At 42.6% G+C, this 21,378-nt stretch overlaps 1 protein-coding gene across 9 annotated transcripts in view; it reads left to right on the forward strand.

Moving 5' to 3' along the window:
• Positions 1-21,378, forward strand: part of ETV6 (ETS variant transcription factor 6) — a 245,704-nt gene that overhangs the window by 40,415 nt on the left and 183,911 nt on the right. The gene's annotated exons all lie outside the window — the stretch shown is intronic.

The following is a 21,378-nucleotide window of genomic DNA, read 5'->3' on the forward strand; positions in this document are numbered from 1 at the left end:
ATCTGGTGGTGTCCAGAGCTCAAGTCCCCACTGCAGACGCCAGGAAGAAAGAGGTGGCTCGCAGACTGAGAAGGGGCGTAGGGATGCACCCTTCTTGTCTCCTTCTGCTTGATAATTTAGATAGAGGATGGCAGGTGTAAATCAGTTTGTGGTAGATGCAGTGTGAGCTGTCCTTTCTCCCCCTTCCTCACGTCCTTACAAGACACCTGTCTGCTTTGTATCGATTCCGGCACTGTGTTATGATATTCTTGTAGTTTCATTTTTTTGTTGTTTCTCTTTTGATATTGGACTTTATATGCAAAGAATGGGATTAGTCATAATCTTTACTTCAAAACACATTATCTTCATATTTTTATGCTGGTTGTGATGGCACACACCTGTAGTCTGAGCTACTCTGGAGACTGAGGTGGGAGAATCACTTGAGCTCAGGAGTTCGAGTCTGCAGTGAGCTATGATTGTACCACCGCACCCTAGCCAGGACAACGGAGCAAGACTCTGTCTCTAAAAAAGATAGAATGGGCTGGGCACGGTGGCTCATGCGTGTAATCCTAGCTCTTTGGGAGGCTGAGGCAGGCAGACCACTTGAGGTGCAGTTCAAGACCAGCCTGGCCAACATGGTGAAACCCCATCTCTACTAAAAATATGAAAATTAGCCGGGTGTGGTGGCGGGCGCCGGTAGTCCCAGCTACTCGGGAGGCTGAGCCAGGAGAATCGCTTGAACCTGGGAGGCAGAAGTTGCAGGAAGCCAAGATTGTGCCACTGCACTCCAGCCTGGGCGACAGAGTGAGACTCTGTCTCTAAATAAATAAATAAATAAATAAAATTATATAAAATAAATAGTGTAATAACCAACTATGTAGTCACTTCAGGCTGCTATAACAAAACACATAAACTGAGTGGCTTATAAACAACAGAATTTGATTCTTTCCGTCTGGAGGCTGGTAGTCTGAGGTCAGGGTGCCCAAATGGTCAAATTCTGGTAAGGGCCCTCTCCTGGGTTTCAGGCTGCTGACTTCTCACTGTGTCCTCACATGGCAGAAGGGCGGGGAGCTCTCTAAGGCCTCTTTTATACGAACCTAAATCCCATCCATGAGGGCTCTACCCTCATGACTTAAAACACCTTCTAGAGGCCCCATCTCTAAATACCATCACATTGAGAGTTAGGATTTCAACATACGAATTCTGGGGTAACACAAACCTTGTCTGTAGCAGTGACCATAAACCCATCCCCCCAGACAAATCTAGGACCTGGAGCATAACCTGCGTCTGAGCAGATTGCCATCCTTCCCACACCTCCTCTCCCTTCTTTTCTCTACCCAAGGTAACTATTATCTGAACCCTGTATACATCTATGTTTCCTTTTCTGCATACTTTATTTCGCTTACATATCGTTCTAAAATGGAACACATAAAAACATAAGACATACACACATAAAAAGTATGTAGCTATATAGATATGTATTTAATTGTTATCACCTTTCAACTTTATAAAAAGGATATCAGACCATATATAATCTTTTGGGACTTACTTTTTTACTTAACGTCTCGACTGCCAGCATTCATGTGTATTGCTATGCATCACGGTAGTTAATTTGCCTTGTCTGCTGTATGATGTTCCATCATGAGCCGATTATACACAGTTTATTCATTCACTCTCTCATTGATGGGCGTTGAAGTTGGTGCTAGGATCTTGGCAATTGCAAACAGGTTTGCCATAAATATATTCATGTATGTATAATCAGTTGTCCACGTGCAAAAGAGAGTCCTTTGTGTTCGTGACTCCATTATTTTGAAACCAGCAGTAGTACTGCACACTGGGAGAATGTTTGTGGGAAGCACAATAAAGGTAAGTCCTCAGTACTTTGTATTTCAGTTTGGTGTGAAGAAGTAGCATGTAGACTTCATAGGAGACAAGACACTTCTATGGTTTGAGTATTTGTCTCCTCCAAAATTCATGTTGAAACTTAATGCCTTAATCCCCGGTATGGCAGTATTGACACATGGGGCCTTTAAGAGGTGGTTGGGTCATGAGGGTTCTGCCCTCATGAATAGATTACCCCATTCATGGGTTAATGGATTAATGGATTAATGGGTTATTATGGGAATGGGACTGGTGGCTTTATAAGAAGAGGAAGAGAGACCTGAGCTAGCATGCTCTGCCCCTTACCTTGTGTTACCCTGCACTGTCCTGGAACTCTGCTGAGTCCCTCCTAGCGTGAAAGCCCTCTCCAGATGGGGCCCCTTGACCTTGGACTCCCTAGCCTCCATAACTGTAAGAAATAAATTTCATTTCTTTGTAAATTACCTAGTTTTAGGGATTTGGTTATAAGCAACAGAAGACGGACTACATATCTTATTTTAATTTTGTTCCTCCCACTAACTTCCCAGCCCCACAGTGCTTGGAGCAACTGTTTCTGCAGTCATGACTTCAGTACAGTTAATGCCTGTTGACTTCATCTTATGTTAAATTCTTTGCAGGTAAAGCCATGTTCCTTATAAGATCAGTCTTTTTTTGTTCCTCTATGTGTCTAATCAGGTCAATTCTTTGCATTATTTTATTTAGCATCATCTACCAGGAACTAGGCAGGCATTGTCTTAATAAAGCCTGGTTCTTGCAGTTGGAGAACTTGCTATCTAGCTGGGAGAGGCAGTATGCAAACTAAGATTTAGAATGCGTTATGAGGCCAGGCGTGGTGGTTCACGCCTGTAATCGCAGCACTGGGAGGCTGAGGCGGATGGATTGCCTGAGCCCAGGAGTTCAAGACCAGCCTGGGCAACATGACGAAGCCATCTCTACAAAAAATTAGCCAGGCATGGTGGCACATGCCTGTGGTCCTAGCTACCCGGGAGGCTAAGGTGGGAGAATCACCTGAGCCCAGGAGGTTGAGGCTGCAGTGAGCTGTGATTGCACCACTGCACTCTAGCCTGGGCGACAGGATGAGACCCTGTTTCAAGAATAGTAATAATAATAAATTTAAAAATAAAATAGAATGCATTATTATATGTACCTTAGAACTTAGGTCTTAGAGAGTGCCTACCTCTCCTTGGGAGAGAAGACTTACGGTGGTGGGAGACAGTGTTGCATCTGTCAGATAAATTAGGGAAGGCACATGGGGCGGACGATTTCAGAGAAGTTAAAGGCATGGGAGAACATTTGCCACGCAGGCCGTGGCAAGTGGTTGGCTTTGACTGTAACATGCAGCGTATGCAGTTCCTGGAGGCAGATGAGGGAAGTCATGCAGTACTTGTGTTTCTGTGAGTCTCTTCAGTTTTGGGGTTTGTAGACAGGTCATGTTCACTTACTCCTAACCTGTCTCCCACAATAGTCATCTGGGTCTGTGCTACTTAGTGTCATCCTCTCACTCTTTCCCTTGGTGGCATATCCAGTTGGCTAAGAGGACAGGCCTGACCTTGTGCCCAGAGTAGGGAGAAGATCCCGATCACCTCTGGTCCTTGTCAGGCTGTTTGCTTGGATGGTAGAGTTCACCCAAGTTCGGACTCAGGAACGGCCTGTGGTCATGGAGTAGTTTTTTTCTGTCCAGGGTCTGGACCAAGATAACTCCATCACAGGGGTAGCAACAGTATGTGCTGGGGCAATTCTGCTACCCACTTCTGGTGTCCTTCAGTGCTTTCCCTGCACTATCTCTGTCCCCAGCTGCTTCCATCCATTTGCTTTCTAGTGATGAAGCACTGGGGGAAGCTGCAGGGATGGCTGCTGCACCCACATCCATCCCTGCCCATCTGTTCTCAGAGACTCTATGGCTAGCAGAGGGAGTGATGATTTCAGGGAAGAGTACCAGAGAGGGCCAGTGGGTAGCAGGAGTCTCACTTCTTGGAGAAAACAGCTGGTCCTCTGTGACCAATTCTCCCTCAAACTAGGGAGATTATATGGCCACTGCATACACAAACACACATGCTTGCGAAGATAGGATGGAGTTGTACCAAATAAAAAGTTTATTGAAAGGGATGGTGGTAGAGAAACACTGTATCATGCCGTGGCATAACAGGGTATTATATGTTGGATGGCTTTTTGGAAATCATTTTAGGCCAACCTTATTAGAGATCTAATTTATTTGTATTCTTGTAGCTACCTAGCACAGTGGTAAGAACACAGACCAACATTTGGTAAACCTTGGTTTGAACTCTACCCCTGCTGCTTCTGACCTCTGTGAGTCTGCATATTATTTAACCCCTGAGGCTCAGTGTCCTCGGTTGAAAAATGGGCCACTAATTTAGTATAAGGGCTATGTAAGATGTAATGCACATGACATGTTTTATAATAGCTTCTTATGGAATTATCTGAATTGGGGACCCATCTGTTGCTTTTATAAAAAGTTCACCCCTTAAGACAAGTCAGTCCAATGGCCATGTTTAAACCAAATGTACTGTCTTCTGTAATGCTCAATATATTTTTCATGTCATTGAGTGCAGAGACTAGGTGGGAAGATGATCATATACAGACAGAATGGGCACCACTCTGCCTAAACATGGCTCTCGCTTTCAAAACAGTACTTTAAAATATCTCCTCCCTATTAAACTTTTCCAGTGAAGACTCTTTTTCCACCTGGTTATTGTCTCTGTGTTTGTTACAGCCTTCTCTCTGCTTTCAGATATTCAACTCTGCAAAGTCGTAATCATTTATCCACATGTACTTTTGTGTGTGTTTGTCCCATCTCTCTCTTTAGAAGACATGTTCCTGCTGGTGCTTGGAATAAGACGTTCTTTTCCCTCCCCGTGGAGATGCTATTTTTCCTCTCTTTAAGGAGCTAGGAGAGAATTTGGTTCAACATGTCTTATGTATCAGTTTAGCACTGTGCTTTTCTTCCCTTAGATTGACGTGTGATTTAAAAAAACAAAATTTGGAACCGGTCATGTAAAGATGGTGTATGTCACTTAGTATAGGTCATCTCTGTACCCTTTGTATACTGAATTTTGCTGTGACCTGTCAAAGGATACCGAAGACAGGCCCATGCGAAACATTTAATTTCTGGCATTTTCGTGCATGTGAGACTCATCTGATGTGAACTGAAGGTATGTTATCCTTCCTTTTAATGATACCAAATCTGGCCCAAATTCATATGACCCCTTAGAAAATTACTGTGATAGGAACAGATTCTAATGAATTGAAATAGAGATTTCTCCACCTCACGTAATTAGGATTTGAGAGTTAAATAAGAAAGTCAGGGATAGGGACAGGGATAGAATGGCATGGAGAAAGTTGGAGCCAAGAACACTGAGGAAAAGAAGGGAGTGACAGCAGCAAGGACCATTGCTGTTAGGAAGGGAATTCTTTCATCAGACACTGGAATTCTCCTGCCAGGCACTGGAGTTTGCCCTAGCTTCTGTCTGCTTTTACTGGATCCTGGGTCCTCCAGCTGAAGTGAGTTGTATTACAATCCCTTCCAGTTTTGCACTTCAGGGAAGTGAAATGGAGCAAATCCTAATGGCACAGGCTGGAGGGAGAAGGACTAGTTTCTTTAATGTGACTCAACACCTGGCAAGGCTGTCTTTTTCTCAACCGGGTTTCATCTGTTAGTTCTGCAACATGCAGAGTCAGATTTTGAGGAGTTTCCAGCTCTCGCCTTCATGGCTGTCCTTGTGTTTGTGTTTGTGTTCTCCAGGCGCCTCCTTCTCCACTCTTTCTCCAGTGCTGGAGACCTAGGGGTGTGCATCCTGGAGGATTGTGAGGAACCTCAGCTGCTCCCCTCGTCCTCTGACCAGGCGGTGGGCTCAGGGAGCTTTGGAGTCTCATGCGGTCAGCAGCGCTTAGCATGTTCAGTTGGCTTTTTCCATATCACCAGTGACATCTTTCTTCTTCCTAATCATCGACTCATGGAATATTAGAATTACCAAGCCTCTTGCAGTTCCTGTGGTCTAATTCCTTCATTTTAGAGATGAGGACCCCTAAGGCCTGGGGAGGGGAGATGATAGGTGTAGGGAAAAAAAAAAGAAACTTTTTCCTCTAAATAAGATTAGCAAAACGATAAATTAACAGGAGAAAAATAGAGAGTTTATTAACACGTGCAGCACACATCACACAGGAGAAACCTCAGTGATGAGTAACTCAAAGTTTCAAGAGTTTTTATTTCTTTTTTCTGTATAGCACTTGTCAGTCTCTGATATTGATTTTTACTTGTTTCTTAATGTTTGTTCTCCTTCCACTAGTACGTACACTCCATGGGAACAGTGATTTTCATCTGTTTGTCACTGCTTTATTCCCAGCACATAGAGCTGTGCCTAGAGTGGTAGGCAGATCATTGTTAAAACAATGAATACATGAACTTCGGGCAAGTTACTTAACCATTCTGTACTTCAGTTTTCTTGTGAGTAAAATAGGGATTAAAATAGTGCCTACTTCATGGAGTTGCAATAAAAACTAAGGGAGTTAATCCATCTAAAGTACCAATAACCCACCTGGCCCATAGTAAATGCTCAATAAATAGGTTCCCAGCCAGGCGCAGTGGCTCACACCTGTAATCCCAGCATTTGAGAAGCCGAGGCAAGAGGATCACTTGAGTCAGGAGTTCGATACCAGCCTGGGCAAGTGGTGAAACCCCATCTCAACTAAAGATACAAAAATTAGCTGGGTATGGTAGCAGGGGCCTGTAAACCCAGCTATTCAGGAGGCTGAGGCAGAAGAATTGCCTGAACCCGGGAGATGGAGGTTGCAGTGAGCTGAGATCATGCCACTGCACTTTAGCCTGGGCAACAGAGTATAAGACTCTGTCTCAAAAAAATAATAATAAAAATAAATAAGTTCCTTATTATAATTACTAAATATTGTATTTCCTCACTAGAATGCAAACTCCTTGAGGGCAGAGACTATTTCTTACATCATCTTTTTATTTCTAGTAGCAATTTGGCTGACACATGATTGATATTCAGTGTTTGTTGAACAGATAGATAAGTTATAGAAAAATTGTAGGTAATACTTCTGTAAATAATTGTTAAATTTAAATGAATAGATTTCCTTCCTGTCTTTTTCCCTAAGCTGCAATCAGTGAATCTACATGGATTACATAGATTGTGACTACACTGTGCCTTAACTCATCACTTAGGCAGTGGAGTCGATCATTTATTTTGTTGCCATGACTTGGCTGAAATTTCTTGGGGACTGACAGCAATGGCAGAAACTTGATGGGTCCTGAATGTCACCATAGCCTGTAAGCTACACAGGAGCCACCCGAGAACTCCTCCATTCGTGGTTGTAACTTCACAGAAATGCTTCCCAGTCAGAGGAGGTACTTAGCAGAGGCTGCAGGCATCTGAACAGACAGGTGCAGGAAAAGTTGAAAGGGAAGGTTAAGGGAGAAACATACTCCTCATCTCCGTTCTCAAGAAACGGCTTAAAGGTTGTAAAAGGATTCTGCTTTTAAGCTTGAGTCACTCATTTGACTTCTGTGGGCCTTGCAATTTCTCTGGTAAAATTAGAGAATATGACCAAGATTATCTCCAAGGACCTGTCTTACTTTTTAAGTTTCCTAATTCTGTGAAAAATGCTTAAGAAGGCCTCAGACTGATTAAGAATTTAGGGGTGTAAGTTTAAGTGGGGATACTGATAAAAGGGCAGGGGATGTTACTGTAAGAGCAATGGAAAAGTGTCTGAGTAGTGTAGCATATCCATTTGTGAGAGGAGTAATTAATTAAAAAATGAAGGCAGAATCCACATCTTCACAAAAGTTTCCTATCTCCTGGTTTGGATGAGTGTATTTAATGTGAACTAAGTTGCATGTGGGCTGTCTAATCTGGGCATCTGACTTGTGAATCCTTCCCATAACTAAGCCCCGAGAGATTTCCAATCATGCCCATAAGGTAATGCAATTTGGCAAGAGGATTTGGACTTGACGAAATCTCTTGTTCTATTTGGCATCCAGAAAAGGCTGACTTGCCTAATTTGAAAATAAATTGAAAACAAAAAAAATTTAAAAAAACCTCTGGTTGTTCCTTGTTTGATGAAATACCATAGAAAACTATTACTCTTTTTCCATACCCCATTACTATGGAGAATATGTTTTTACCACTGACTCTTCTAAGTATCTGTCCTTAGTTTCCTGTCCTTCCCTGCCACAGGTTCCAGGAAGGCTGAATCACTACAGCATGGTATTAAATCATAGAAATACGTGTGTATTTTGTACCATGTGGGTCTGCTTGCATTCCTAACATCTGCATTAGTATTAGTTTTCTATTGCTGCATAACAAACTGCCACAAATTTAGTGGTTTAAAACAACATTCATTTCTTATCTCAGTTTCTTTGGGTCAAGAATCTGGACACAGTTTACCTGGGTCATCTGCAAAGGGTCTCAGAAGGCTGTAATTAATGTGTTAGCCAGGGCTGTGTTCTGATCTGAGGCTTGACTGAGGAAGAACCCACTTTGTTAGCAGAATTTAGTACCTTGTGGTTGTAGGACAGAGGATTTTAGTTTCTTACTAGCTGTTGGTTGGAGGCTTCCCTCTGTTCCATACTATGTGGGCCTCCCAACCTAGACACCCACAACATGGCAGCCTGCTCCTTCAACAACTAGCAAGGGAGTTTAATGTTTTCCTGTAGCTCATATTTCTTTATAGGTGTGACCTCAATTTTTCCCCTAATACCTTTGTAAGATAGAAGTAGGGAGAACCAAGATAGATCCAAAAAGGCTGAATGAAATGCCTGAGATTGAGCTGGTGGTTGCATTGAACAATATAAATTGATGAATAACAATTTATTAATTGTGCCAGGCACTGTGCTAAGAGCTTCATGTCAGTACATTCTTGTTTAGTTCTTAGCACAACCCTCTGAGTTAGGTATTACTACTACTAAACTATTTAACAGGTAGGGAAGTTGGGGATTAGAGAGGTTATGTAACCTGCCTAAAGTTCACAGACAGAAAGTGCACAGCCCAGATTTGAACACAGGCAGATTCCAGAACCCACTATCATCGCACTCTGAAGATCTCTCCATTAGAGCACGATGCTGCCATGTTCAGGATTCTTCCTATCTTTTGTTAAATACTTAAGTTCCTGCAATATTGCAAAGGGATAATTGTAATAGGTTGCCCCTTTCAAAGTGCTTTAATAAAATGAAAGGACAACATTCTTTCTTTTCTGCTTGAGCCAGGCTTTCTCATTTTTCTGAAGACATCTAGGATAAATGGAAGGAAACCAGAATTTAGTGGGGTTTGCATGTATTGATAACAGTTTTGCTGAATACACATCCAAGAGCTAAAACATGCAAACTCTTCAAAATTGGTAGAATACAGCTTGCTCATTTTAATTCATTTAAAAATGTTCATTTTAATTAAGCATTACCCATTTTATTATTCCATAAAACACGAATCATCTGGAAAAGGCAGCATAGGTCTATTTTTCCAGCCTATAAAACTATATGTAGATGGATCTTGATGAGGGATGTACAAGATTTAATTAGAAACTGAAATTTTAGAGTAAAAAAATGCAGGGGTGTGTGTGTTTCTTCTATATTTGTGGAAACCCAAAGAGCTATCCTGCAGGATACTTGAAAATATATATAAATACAGAGGAGAAATAAAGTGCGGAGAAGGTTTGTTGATTATTGAGCTTTTTCATGGGTGATAGAATGGAGCAGCTGTAGGATGGAGGTAAAGAGGATAGGAAAATGCTCTTCTGGGTCAGACCCAGCCCCACATCCCAAAATGTTGTGGCCACCCTCTGTGTTATGTAAAATGTAGGAAGGTCCTCCCAGCTGGAGGACCTTCGAGTATACTGCGTTCCCCCTCCTCATTCACTAGGGAGGATGCAAAGGTGCAAATGGGCCAAGGTCATGCATTGGACTTCCTTCATTAAACTGTTATGAATTTGCCTTCCCTGAGCTCCTGTTGGAAAAATGTCTTGAACTTACTGTTGTTGTTTCTCCTACTGCGTTTGTATTTCTTTTTATAAACCTTAGTCCAAGTCAGCCCAGTGCTGTAGTTATTTGTGTATCTGTGTCATTCTCCCTAGGATGCCCTGGGCCATTTTTAATCAACTTTGATCCCCTTTCAGTGCCTTGCATGAGGCCTGGAACATTGGAGGTACACACTGTGTATTGACTGAATCGAGTGAAAGGTATTTGAATATACAGTTGACTCTTGAGCTACATGGGGGTTAGGTTGCTGACCCCTCACGCAGGAAAAATATCTGTGTATAACTTTTTAAAAAATAAATTTGGGGGTACAAGTGCAGTTTTGTTACATGGATATATTGTGTAGTGGTGAAGTCTGGGCTTTTAATATAGCCTTCACCCTAGTAGTGAACATTGTACCCAATAGGTAGGTTTTCAACCTTAACCTGCCTCCTATCTTTGGAGTCTCCAATATATGTTATTTCCCTCTGTATGTTCCTGTATACCCATTCTTTAGCTCCTGCTTATAAGTGAGAACATGCAATATCTTACTTTCTGTTTCTGAGTTATGTATATAACTTCTGAGTCCCCAAAAACATAACTACTAATAGCCTACTGCTGACTAGAAGCTTTACCGATAACGTAAATGGTTAATTAACACATATTTTGTTTGTTATATGTATTATATACTATATTCTTATAGTACAGTAAGCTAAAGAAAAGAAAATGCTATTAAGAAAATCATAGGAGAAAATATATTTACCGTTCATTAAGTGGAAGTGGAGCATCATAAAGGTCTTCATCTTCATCATCTTCATGTTGAGTAGGCTGAAGAGGGCTTGGTCTTGCTGTCTCAGGGTGGCAGAGGTGGAAGATGCGGAGGAGGCGGGAGGAAAGGCAGGCCACTCAGTGTAAATTTACTGAAAAAAATTCACATATAAGTGGACACACGCAGCTCAAACATGCTGTTCGAGGGTCCACTGTATTTCATCTGTTTGTTTCCTACTGTGGAAGACAGGGCTTCCAGGCTTTAGTTCTAAAACTTCCATTGTAAGGCCTTGAGGAGGATCCTCTCATTCCAGTAATCTGAGAGTTGGTAAACAAATTCAAAGCCACTGTATCACTGTCCTTTATGTCCCTATGTTTTTTTTTTTTACTTTTTTTTGCCATTTCTTTTTTCTTTTGCACTTTAAAAATCGTGGTAATATATACATAATATAAAATTTGCCCTTTTAACCATTTTAAGTATACAATTCAGTAGCATTAGGTACATTCACATTGTTGTGCAACCATCAGCGCTCTCCAGAACTTTTACATCGTCCCCAGCTGAAACTCTGTCCCCAGCAAACGCTGGCATGCCCTTCTCCCCTCCCCCAGCCCCTGGTAATCAGGGGTCTTCTTCCTGTTTGTGAATTATGACTACTCCAGGTCTCTCCGTAAGTGGAATCTCATTTGACCTTTTGTGACTGGCTTATTTCACTTAGCATGATGTTAAAAGGTTTATCCATGTTGTAGCATGTGTCAGAATTTCATTCCTTTTTGGCAGCCATTGTCTTAAGACTCAAGAGTTTAAGTGTTTTTAGTCTCTGTAGCCAGAGGTAGATTTTTCTTCCAGCTCTGTGCTTGGGCATTTCCCAAAGCGAAACTTCCAAAGGCACATCCTGTCTTCCTGAGTGGTATTCTTTGAGGCAGCTGAGTAGCAAAACTGAGGCTATTAATGTTCGCTTAGCAACTGAGCAGCTACTGTGTATCAGGGGCTCTGCCTGTGACCAGGGAGTACACGGTCTTGTAGAAGAGAAAACCGGGTACTCAGCTAACTGTGGTACCATGTGCTAGGTGCCAAAGGAGGAACAGAGGGCCCTGCGTGATCTGCTCAGGACCGTGAGGGAGAGGTAAGAAGAGTTCAAAGGAGAGGTCATATTTCAAACAGACCTTGAAGCTGTTCAAGGCAGAGAAGAAAAGGATGGTGTTCCACGAATGGCCTGAGCTAAGGCAAGTGGAAACACGAGGTTTGTTGGAAGAATCGCAAGGACAGCCTGATGTTTATAGAAAGTGGAGAGAGTGTGGGGAATGACATTAGGGCGTATATGAATGCCATGCTAAGGATTGGGGTACAGGTAACTTGGAGGCCTCATGCAGTTAGACTGACCCCGTTCGATCTGTGGGTTGACAGGGGGGTGTGAATGGATTGGAATGGGAGAGACCACTGTGTGGGGCAAATGGGAAGGGAGCGTGGTTGCAGCATTTTAGGCCAGAGATGGTGAGGGCCTGAAGCAAGGCAGTGAGAGAGAAGAATTTGCTCATGGTCAGGTGCATCGGGCCTGTTGACAGCAGAGTTTGTTGGACTGCTCCCACCTATTGCTTTTTGTCTTCTGAAGTTTTTATAATTTCAATTCCAGTTTAGAGGTCTGTTTTTAGAACATTTCTCCGATCTTATTATACCCATAGTGGCAAGAATGAATTGATTTGTACAAGATAGCTGGACAGGTTCCTACCTTCAGGCTTTCTACCCAACTGGGCACTTGGAAGGATAGTTTTTCATAGTCTTCATGGGCTAAGTGATTGCATGTAATATACAATAGCTGGAGTCTAACTGTAATTAAAACAGGTTAGCCAAGCTACAGGAGAAGTATCCCCCCCATCCCCACCCCCATGGCCCTTCCCCACTGCCTGTAATCTCTTGGTAACAAAAGAAGTCAAACAAAAATTTCATGCAAGGGTATAAACATACTTTGAGTCATCAGAACCTACCTAGTGGTCCATAGAACCTTGGCTCTTCATGAAGGGCTTACCAGGAAGACATAGTCGTTGTTCATATGCAGTTTCTATTCTGAACTGTAAAATGTGAGCGATTACTTTGGAAAATTAGAAGAAAAAATGAATTTACTCAGGATCCTTAAAAGGTTACATTTGTCATGCCTGTAATCCCAACAATTTTGGAGGCTGAGCCGGGTAGATCGCTTGAGCCCAGGAGTTTAAGACCAGCCTGGGCAACATGGCAAAACCCTGTTGATACAAAAAATACAAAAATTAGCTGGGCGTGGTGGCACATGCCTGTAGTCCCGGCTACCTGAAAGGCTGAGGTGGGAGGATGACCTGAGTCCGGAGAGGTTGAGGCTGCAGTGAGTCAAGATCGTGCCACTGCACCCCAGCCTGGGTGACAGAGTGAGACCTCCTCTGGAAGAAAACAAACAAGTGACATTTATAGGAGGGTCCCAAACATACAAATATGGAAAGTGAAAATACTACTTGCTACAGGTACTGAAAGAAAATACTCAGGAGTCATTATTCAACTGAAAGCAGATTGAGGCAAAGGTGCTGAAATATACTAAAAATAATGAGTTTCAAAGAAAATCATCTTTTGTTAACCTTTGCATTAGTCAGTCCTTATTTTTTCGTTTTAGTCACTCCTTTACAACAATGTGTATAAATATAGAAGATGAAGAGAAGTGTGATAAAAATAATTTAAGATTTGGAACATGGGTTTTCAAAGGAAAGGTTAGAGAAATTTGGGGATTAAAATGGACAGACTTTATCATCTTCAATATTAAAAAAAAAAACAGAAGGATATTTACGAGCAAGCCAATGAAATGATACCAAGAAGTTTATAACACATACTCTGCCCTTATGGGGCTTTCACCTAGCGGCCATGTTTCCATTGTGCAGTTAACTACTCAGTTATTTTTTATTTCCCAAGAGCACTAAGTGAAAGCAAATGCATGTTAAGTCGTGGGGGCTATTCTGAATGATCAATAGAGCCCACCAGAGTCCCTTATAACTAACTACCCATTAGCAGATGTGGAGTTTCCTTCTTGGGGATGGAGGGGACTGAGTCGGGGAGCTTCCTGGATGGGAGTTTGAACCAAATAATCTTAATTATGTAATTCCTTTCAATTTTAAGATTTGAGGGCAACTTTAGAAAGAGATAAGTAATTGACTGACCAACTTTATAAAGAGATCAGTAATTGACCACCCTTGGAGTGTAAGAGTCAACACCTAAAATAAATGTATATTTCTAATATTTTGAAAATAGAAGAAAAAGGAAGAAAGGAGGAAAGACAAGTTATCTAGTGGAGACGATGAATTTTCAGGTCATCCTTCTAGTTTTTATTTTAGACTTGTGTCTTTAGTTGAAATTATTACAACTTGCATGTATTTTGTCTGTTTACTCATTATTTCGTCTGTCTCACCGTTCCAAGGTAAGCACCGTGAAAACGGACTGTGTCTTTTTAGTTCTTTACTGTGTTTCTGCCATCAAGCCCAGTGTTGACACATGGTAGGTACTCAAGACATGCTGGCTGAATGAATCAGTGAGTAGTGAAGGTGGATCATGGGGAGAAGAGTGCTGCAAATACCAGAGAGAAGGAGAAGAAGGAAGTGGAGGGGATAGCGGAAGAAGGGGAAGAGGAGTGAGTTTACAAGGCCTTTTTTTCTTTTTTTGACAGAGTCTCACTCTGTTGCCCAGGCTGGAATACAGTGGCGTGATCTCAGCTCACTGCAACCTCTGCCTCCCAGGTTTAAGCGATTCTCCTGTCCCAGCCTCCCGAGCAGCTGGGATTACAGGTGCACGCCACCACAACCGGCTAATTTTTGTATTTTTAGTAGAGATGGGATTTCACCATGTTGGCCAGGCTAGTCTCAAACTCCTAACCTCAAGTGTTCCGCCCACCTTGGCCTCTCCCTTGCTGGGATTACAGGTGTGAGCCACCATGCCCAGCCTCCAAGCCCTTTCTTTTAAAAAATAAATTTTATTGTTTATATTTGAGATTTACAACATGATATTATGGGATACATATAGCTAATAGAATGGGTTGCTATAGTGAGGTAGGCAACCATTCTCACAGGGGTTTGTGTGTGTGTGTGTGTGTGTGGGACAAGAACAACTAAAATCTACATATTTAACAAAAATTCCTAATAGAATATAGTTTTATTAAGCCTTAAAAAAGGAGATCTTGCCATTTGCCACAACATGGATAGACCTAGAGGACATTATGATAAGTGACATAAGCCAGATACAGAAAGAAACATATTGTATGATCTCACTTTTATCTGAAATATTTATTTTAAAAGCTCAAATACAGAGACAGAGAATGAAACAGTGGTTAATGCCGGTGGAAATGGGGAGATGTGGGTCAAAGGACACAAAATGGCAAGTGCACAGGATGAGCGTGTCTAGAGACTTAATGTACAACGCAAAGACTAAAGTTAACAAGGCCTTTTGGTTCTGTTGCTGTTGTTGCATTACGTAATAGTGTGCTAAGAACAGGAGACACATAACGTCATCTAAAAAACAGGAGATGAAGTGGGCCGGTGCTCAAACATGCTAGCTCCGGGAAACAATTCAGGATGATTTGCCACTGAGTCAGGTTTGTTAATTTTTTCTACAATAGCCAAAGGCTCTCAAAAAATCAAGGTTTCCTGGTTTATAAATAATCTCTGGAGGGGTGTGTGTGTTTCAGGCATCTGACTCCTTTATTTATATTCTCTGCCCTGGCCTTCAGATGATTTTCGAGCGGCTTTCGATTAGATTATCTGCATTGGGATAATGGAGCAATTTTGCAGCAAACTGCTTTGGACTGTTCGACTCTTCTCGGCCTGAGTAGCCAAAAAATAATAATAACTTGATTTAGTCTGGTCTAGCCTGCTGTAGTCTGACTTAAGGATATAATATCCCAGACCTTAGACACTTGACTTAATACATTAACATATTAACAAAAGGGTAAAACAAAATACTAGAAGAAAACATAATAAAAACAGCACATTATTTTTCGGGCATTTGACTTGAACCACAGGGTGCCCTCATAATGAAAAGAATATTCCAAGGGAAAGATGAGAAGGCAATTGAGACAACCCTAAGCCCCTGTCTGCCCACTCAAACCCTCTGGCCACCACTGTACTCTCTCCACCATGAGAAAGCAGGCCAGGAGTCAGTTCAGCTGCCTGTGTTTAAGTGCTTTTAATATCCATGGAGGCACAGAGAAATGAAAGCAGGAGCCTTGAATCTAGATTTTTCCAGAATCCTTTTGAGAGACTTATTGTAGCGGCAGGAGCTCCATTTTGGGGGGGTCACCCCCTGAACTTTGATGGTTTTCAAATCTTTGGAGGGCCTTGGTCTTAGTGGCTCAGAGGTCCCCTGCCAGGACTTCTTTAGGATGGGGATGATAGGAAGCGAACGTTCCTTCTGTTGAGGTGCATCAGCCTTGCATCTGAGTTCTTGATGTCCTCAGGCCTGGCTTCCCAGTTGGTTAAAGGAATGAAAATAACAACGCCTTTCATTTGCAGTGCAGCTTTAAAAATATTTGCTTTTGCTATCTCATTTTATCCTGATAATAACCGTGTGAGAAAAGCAGGATGGCAGTCTTACTGTCCTTGTACACATGGAGAAATAGATGCACAGAGGTTAAGTTGCCCAGTTTAGTAAAGGGCAGAGCAGGGACTAGACTCCATTTCTCTTCGCTGGAAGAGCCCAGCACTATCACATTGCAAGATTGTTTCTTGTAAAACAGTCCTGCATAAAAATAAAAAAGAGTAGAGAGCATGATGTGAATTTCAGCTTTTAGAGGCTGCTGTCTGTTTTTCATAGGTTAAATAGTGAATCAGTGTGCTCCGAGCTTCCATGAGGGGCAGCCCTCCTTACCTGGCAGGTTACTGAGTTTTCTAATGACTTCAGTTTTAGGTGCTAGGAGATAGTAGGGCCACCTGCACTGTTTTGTGAGCAGGACAGATAAGAGGCAAGTGGAGAGGGTGGGAGAGCACTGGCTTGCATCATACACCCCAGCTGCCCTTGCAGGGCCCGACTGTTACAAGCCAGGTATTTCTAGGACGATTGCATTCCTAGCCATATCTGTTTTCTTTCAGATGGGGCGTACAATTTACCTTTTGAGTTCTGTAAATGGAATCGAGGTGAAATCTTTACTCTGGTGCACATATGACCTGCAGGTTGATGCTGCTTGTTTGGAAAGCCCTCTACTTCACAGCGAACAGTTTGTACTGTCAGGTAGACCTCTCTGCCAGGGGACCAACTCCTGTGTATTTGAAAAGGAAGACAAACCTGTATTTTGTAGAAAGGGTCTATTGTTCCCAGGGGGTGGTTGTGGCCAACTTCTTGGACTCCTTTGGCTGACTCTGAAGAAGGAATTGAAGTCAGAATGCTAATCACTGACTTGCACAGGCCTCAACAATCAAACCTCAGGGAACTCAGAAGAAAGTAAACAAGAGCGCTCAATTGCAGAGTCTTGAAGAAGAGCAGCTGTGTAAAGGAGGCTAGACGTGAAAAAAACGTGTTGGAGAGGAAAAAAAATCACATTCCCTGCTTCTCAAATGGGAAGTCTTAAAAATAATAAAGAATCCTGAGCAGCGGGCTCATTTCCCATGAGCAGGCTTGCTGTGGCAGGCAGGCTCACCTGCTAGAGGTGGTCTCCTGGCTTAGAATGGGAGCACACCTGTGGGAATCGCAGCGCTTCTCTACCTGAGCTGGATGTAGATTGTTTGAAAATCCTAGTTGTGCACTGCGTTTCCATCGATCCCTTTCATGCTCCCACTTGTTCCTTTAGTTCCAAATAGCAGGCTGGTGTTGAGAATTCTGTCATCATGGGGCGTTTTTTTCTAAATGTGAGAAATGTCGGAAGCATGGGTGTTCTCAGATTGCTTTAGCCACTGATGATTTTCCTTTTAGTGTATGGAAAGAATGATTTTCTTCTCAATTTCTCCCCTCTAACCTCCTGCATGTAGATTTATGGATTCTAATCGGGACCTTTCTTTGATTCAGTGCCAGGTACACAGGCCCCGAGTCGTATGTGGCAAGTGGCCAAGGGGATCGGTCCTGGAGAACGTCATGGCACACAGGCATTGGCCATGGAGTGGTGATCCCTGGCTCTGGTTCTTCTCCGTCCAGTGACCTGGCATGTCACCTCACAGGGCCATATTTACCTGTTAACTGAGAAACTGAACTAGAACATGGTTATGATAATTTTAATCTCAACTTTGTCTCCTCCTATCTTATGGCAGTAAAGTGACCTTTTAGCAGGATCAATTTATAAGCCGTTTGAAGTCTATCTTTTCTTCCCTTAGCAGTTGTATTTGTGATTTTCTCAGCCTGATTTTAAGTTATTCTGTTATAATTTTGAATGTTCTGTTATGCTTCCCTCTGTGGTGAGCATACGTCGAAAGCTGTACATTTCCTTCAGGGTAACCTTTGTTTCCAACAGGAGAGAGTTCTCACTACCACATCCAGCCTTGATCTCTTTAACCTAAATTGGAATAAGCCAGACAGAGCTGGGGTTCATGGGACAGATGGGAGCATCTCAAGTTTAGGGTTGGGGAGTCTCAGTGAAAAAAAAAAAAAAAAGAACAAGAATGTAGACTTGGAATTTGAGAACAGATAAAGCAGTCCTCACTTGTGCTCTGCAAGGGAGTGCTGTTGTCTTCTAAGGTATTGAACAGACTGGGTGGGAAGCTGCTGAAAGACTGGAAATTTGGGGACTTAGCAAGAAGTATAATGGTGCTGTAACTGCGTTTTCTTAAGGAAACTTGGAGCTGAGGTGCCACCTCCCTGGGAGGGACTTTTCCACTGGTTTCTTGCAGTCTGGACATCACAGACGGCCCAGACTCCCCCCTGTCTTGTGTACATTCCCTTCTACAAGCCTTGCTGTGTTATCACAGGTACCACTTGTAGGCCAGTATCATGGGGGATGGACATTGTTTCATTCTAGGCACATTCAGGAATCGTATATGTACCCTGCCTCGCTTCTGACCTCTCAAGTCAACTTTTGGAGCTGTTAGTGACTTCCAGAAAGCTGACACCCAGTGCCACTCAACCAACCCTGCTTTTCTGCTGGTTTATTTTTGTTATTCCTACCCCGACTCATCTTGCTTTTCAGCCATCAATGAGAATTTATTGAGTTACTCAGACACTCACTCAGACCCTGTGGGAGAGTAGAAAGATGTGTAAGAAACTGTCCCAGAATTTTGAGGGACTTAAAATCCATTCGAAAAGGCAAGGTCTAAGCACATGAAAAGTTACCTAGCAATATCAGCTCATGAATGGAGAGACAGTTGATCAGAGAAAGAGAAATGTCTGTTCAGGAGTGGTCAGGGGAGGCTGCATTGAGGTGATGCACACGTGTGGCCTGAAAGCTTGATTCGTTCCCCACCCCCCATTGTATTCTATATGTAATATTTGATATATAACCAAGAAGCTATGTGAGTTACAAAGCATGATGATACAGTGAACACCTATGAACTCACCACCCAACATAAGAACCAAAATGACTGATATTGATACCCTACCTATATACCTCTACCTTCTTCCTCATTCTACCCCTGCCCTCTTATCCCAGTTAGCCACTGTCTTAAATTTTACAGATTTTATTCCGTTCCTTTTTTTCTTTTTTGAAAGCGTTTGATCTTTTCTTCTCTCCTCCTCTCCTCTCCTCTCCTCTCTTCTTCTTTTCTTTCTTTTCGAGATGAGGTCTCGCTATGTTGTGCAGGCTGGTCTGGAACTCCTGAGCTCAAATGATCCTCCCACCTTAACCTCCCAATAGCTGAGAATATAGGCCTGTACCACTGCACCTGGCTAGATCTCATGTTTTCTTTGGAAATCTAGTAATTGTGATATAGGATCTCTGAATGCAGAACACCTAGGGCACAAGTGATGCTTAATTTTATGTGTCAACTTAGATGGGCCACAGTGCTCATATGTATGATCAGATATTCTTCTGGATGTTTCTGTGAAGGTATTTATGGATGAGACTAATATTTAAATTGGTGGACTTTGAGTAAAGCACATGGCCCTCCGTAATGCGGGTAGGCCTCACCCAATCAGTTGAAGGCCTGAATAGAACCGAAGAGGGAATGCCACAGCAGATGGCCTTCAGACTTACACTGCACCACCGGCTCTTCTCTGGGTCTCCAGCCTGCTGGCACATCTTGCAGATTTTGGGCTTGTCTGCCTCTATAAGCACATAAGCCAGTTCCTTAAAATAAATATCTGTGTGTGTGTATGCATTTATATATACACACACCACCCTATTGGTTCACTTTCTCTGGAGAACCCTGACTAATACAGCATATCACACCTCTCTGTATGCCACGTAGGTAGCACTGCAGAATTAATTTGCAGAGTATTCTCACATCGGGAGGTCAGCAGTATATTAGGCGCATATCAGAAAGGCATTTGGATGATTCTGGCCTACACCATGGAAGAGAAACCTTGATTTTCTGTAAAAGCAAGGCCAGCTTTTTTTGGAGAACTCTTTTCTCCCTTTTAGTATTCTGTCCCCTCCCAAAGCTCCGTGGCTTTCTCTGGTCATTCAGAGACCGTTATTCCCTCCCCAGCATACATGCACACTCATGTCTATGGTTTCCCGTACCTTCTCTGTGGAGCCCTGGTTCTGCCTGTTACAAGGAAAGGCATTTAGTTTCTCTGACCTCCTGTCTCCTCAGATGTCAGTCTGTATTTATTATGTGTCACCATGTACTAGATACTGATTTAAGTGCTTTGCCTGTTTATTCCATGGTATTTTCACAACAATCCCAGGTGGTAACTACTATCATCTTGTTCATTTTGCAGTGAGAAAATGGCAAGAAAGTCATAGAAATGGGATTTGAGTCCTGGTAGTCCGACTTTAGAGCGCTTGCTTCTGACGCTTCTGAAACACATTATGAACTGGAAATTGCTCTACAAATATACACTACTGTTAGTATCACAATGCTAGTATTATAGTGCGCCTATTGCCTTGGGGCCCTGCGCTCTGCTAGTTGATAGCTAGGGCATTTTTGGAGCTGATGCAGGCTAATGAGGGTCGTTGATAGGAAAGTATTGCTTTTCCTAGAAAGCTCTGGTTCTTTGACAGAAGCCTTCTGGTGGCCACAGTTCCTGAGCCCTAAGAAGAAATCCTGTAGGGTACCTCTAGGACATGATGGTTAGTGTAGGGTCATGAGTCTGCTCTCTGGTCATGTCAAGAAAGCTGCCCCCTACTTTGTGTTTAAGCAGATCCTGGAGGCTGCAGGATAGCCCATTGAGACTAAGTGGAGACCAGGCATCAGGTGAGGAAGCCTTAGCTTGGAGGGTCAGAGGCCTCAGCTAGACTTGGTAAATATTTGGCACTTCCTCTCCCTCACAGGACCACAGCAAATGTTAAATAATCACAGCACTCTTTAGTTTGACCACCACTAATCGATTGAGTTGGGCAAATAGCATGGAAGGTCTTTGCCTATTCTTTGGGAGCTCTGGGTGTCCCCAGAGAATTGAGTCTGGCATTAAGTTTTGCCTCTCCTTTCTCGTTTTCTTTTCCCAGCCATATTTCTCCAGGTTTTCAGCACAAACTCAACCCGTTATTTTTGTTTCTTCAGTGTCTTTAACTCTTTCCCTGCCTGTTGAGATGGAGTCTCACTCAGTTGTTTAGTAATGGCAGTACATCGAGAAGACCATCACACAGCAAGAGTTCTAGGAGTTTCTTTGCCTGTGAGGTTAGTTTTCTATATTTCATTTGTGGAGGGAACAGAAGTGATCCCATTTAAGTGTGGAAACTTTCTTTTTG

Source organism: Homo sapiens, chromosome 12, assembly GCF_000001405.40.
Source record: "Homo sapiens chromosome 12, GRCh38.p14 Primary Assembly".
Lineage (NCBI taxonomy): Eukaryota > Metazoa > Chordata > Mammalia > Primates > Hominidae > Homo > Homo sapiens.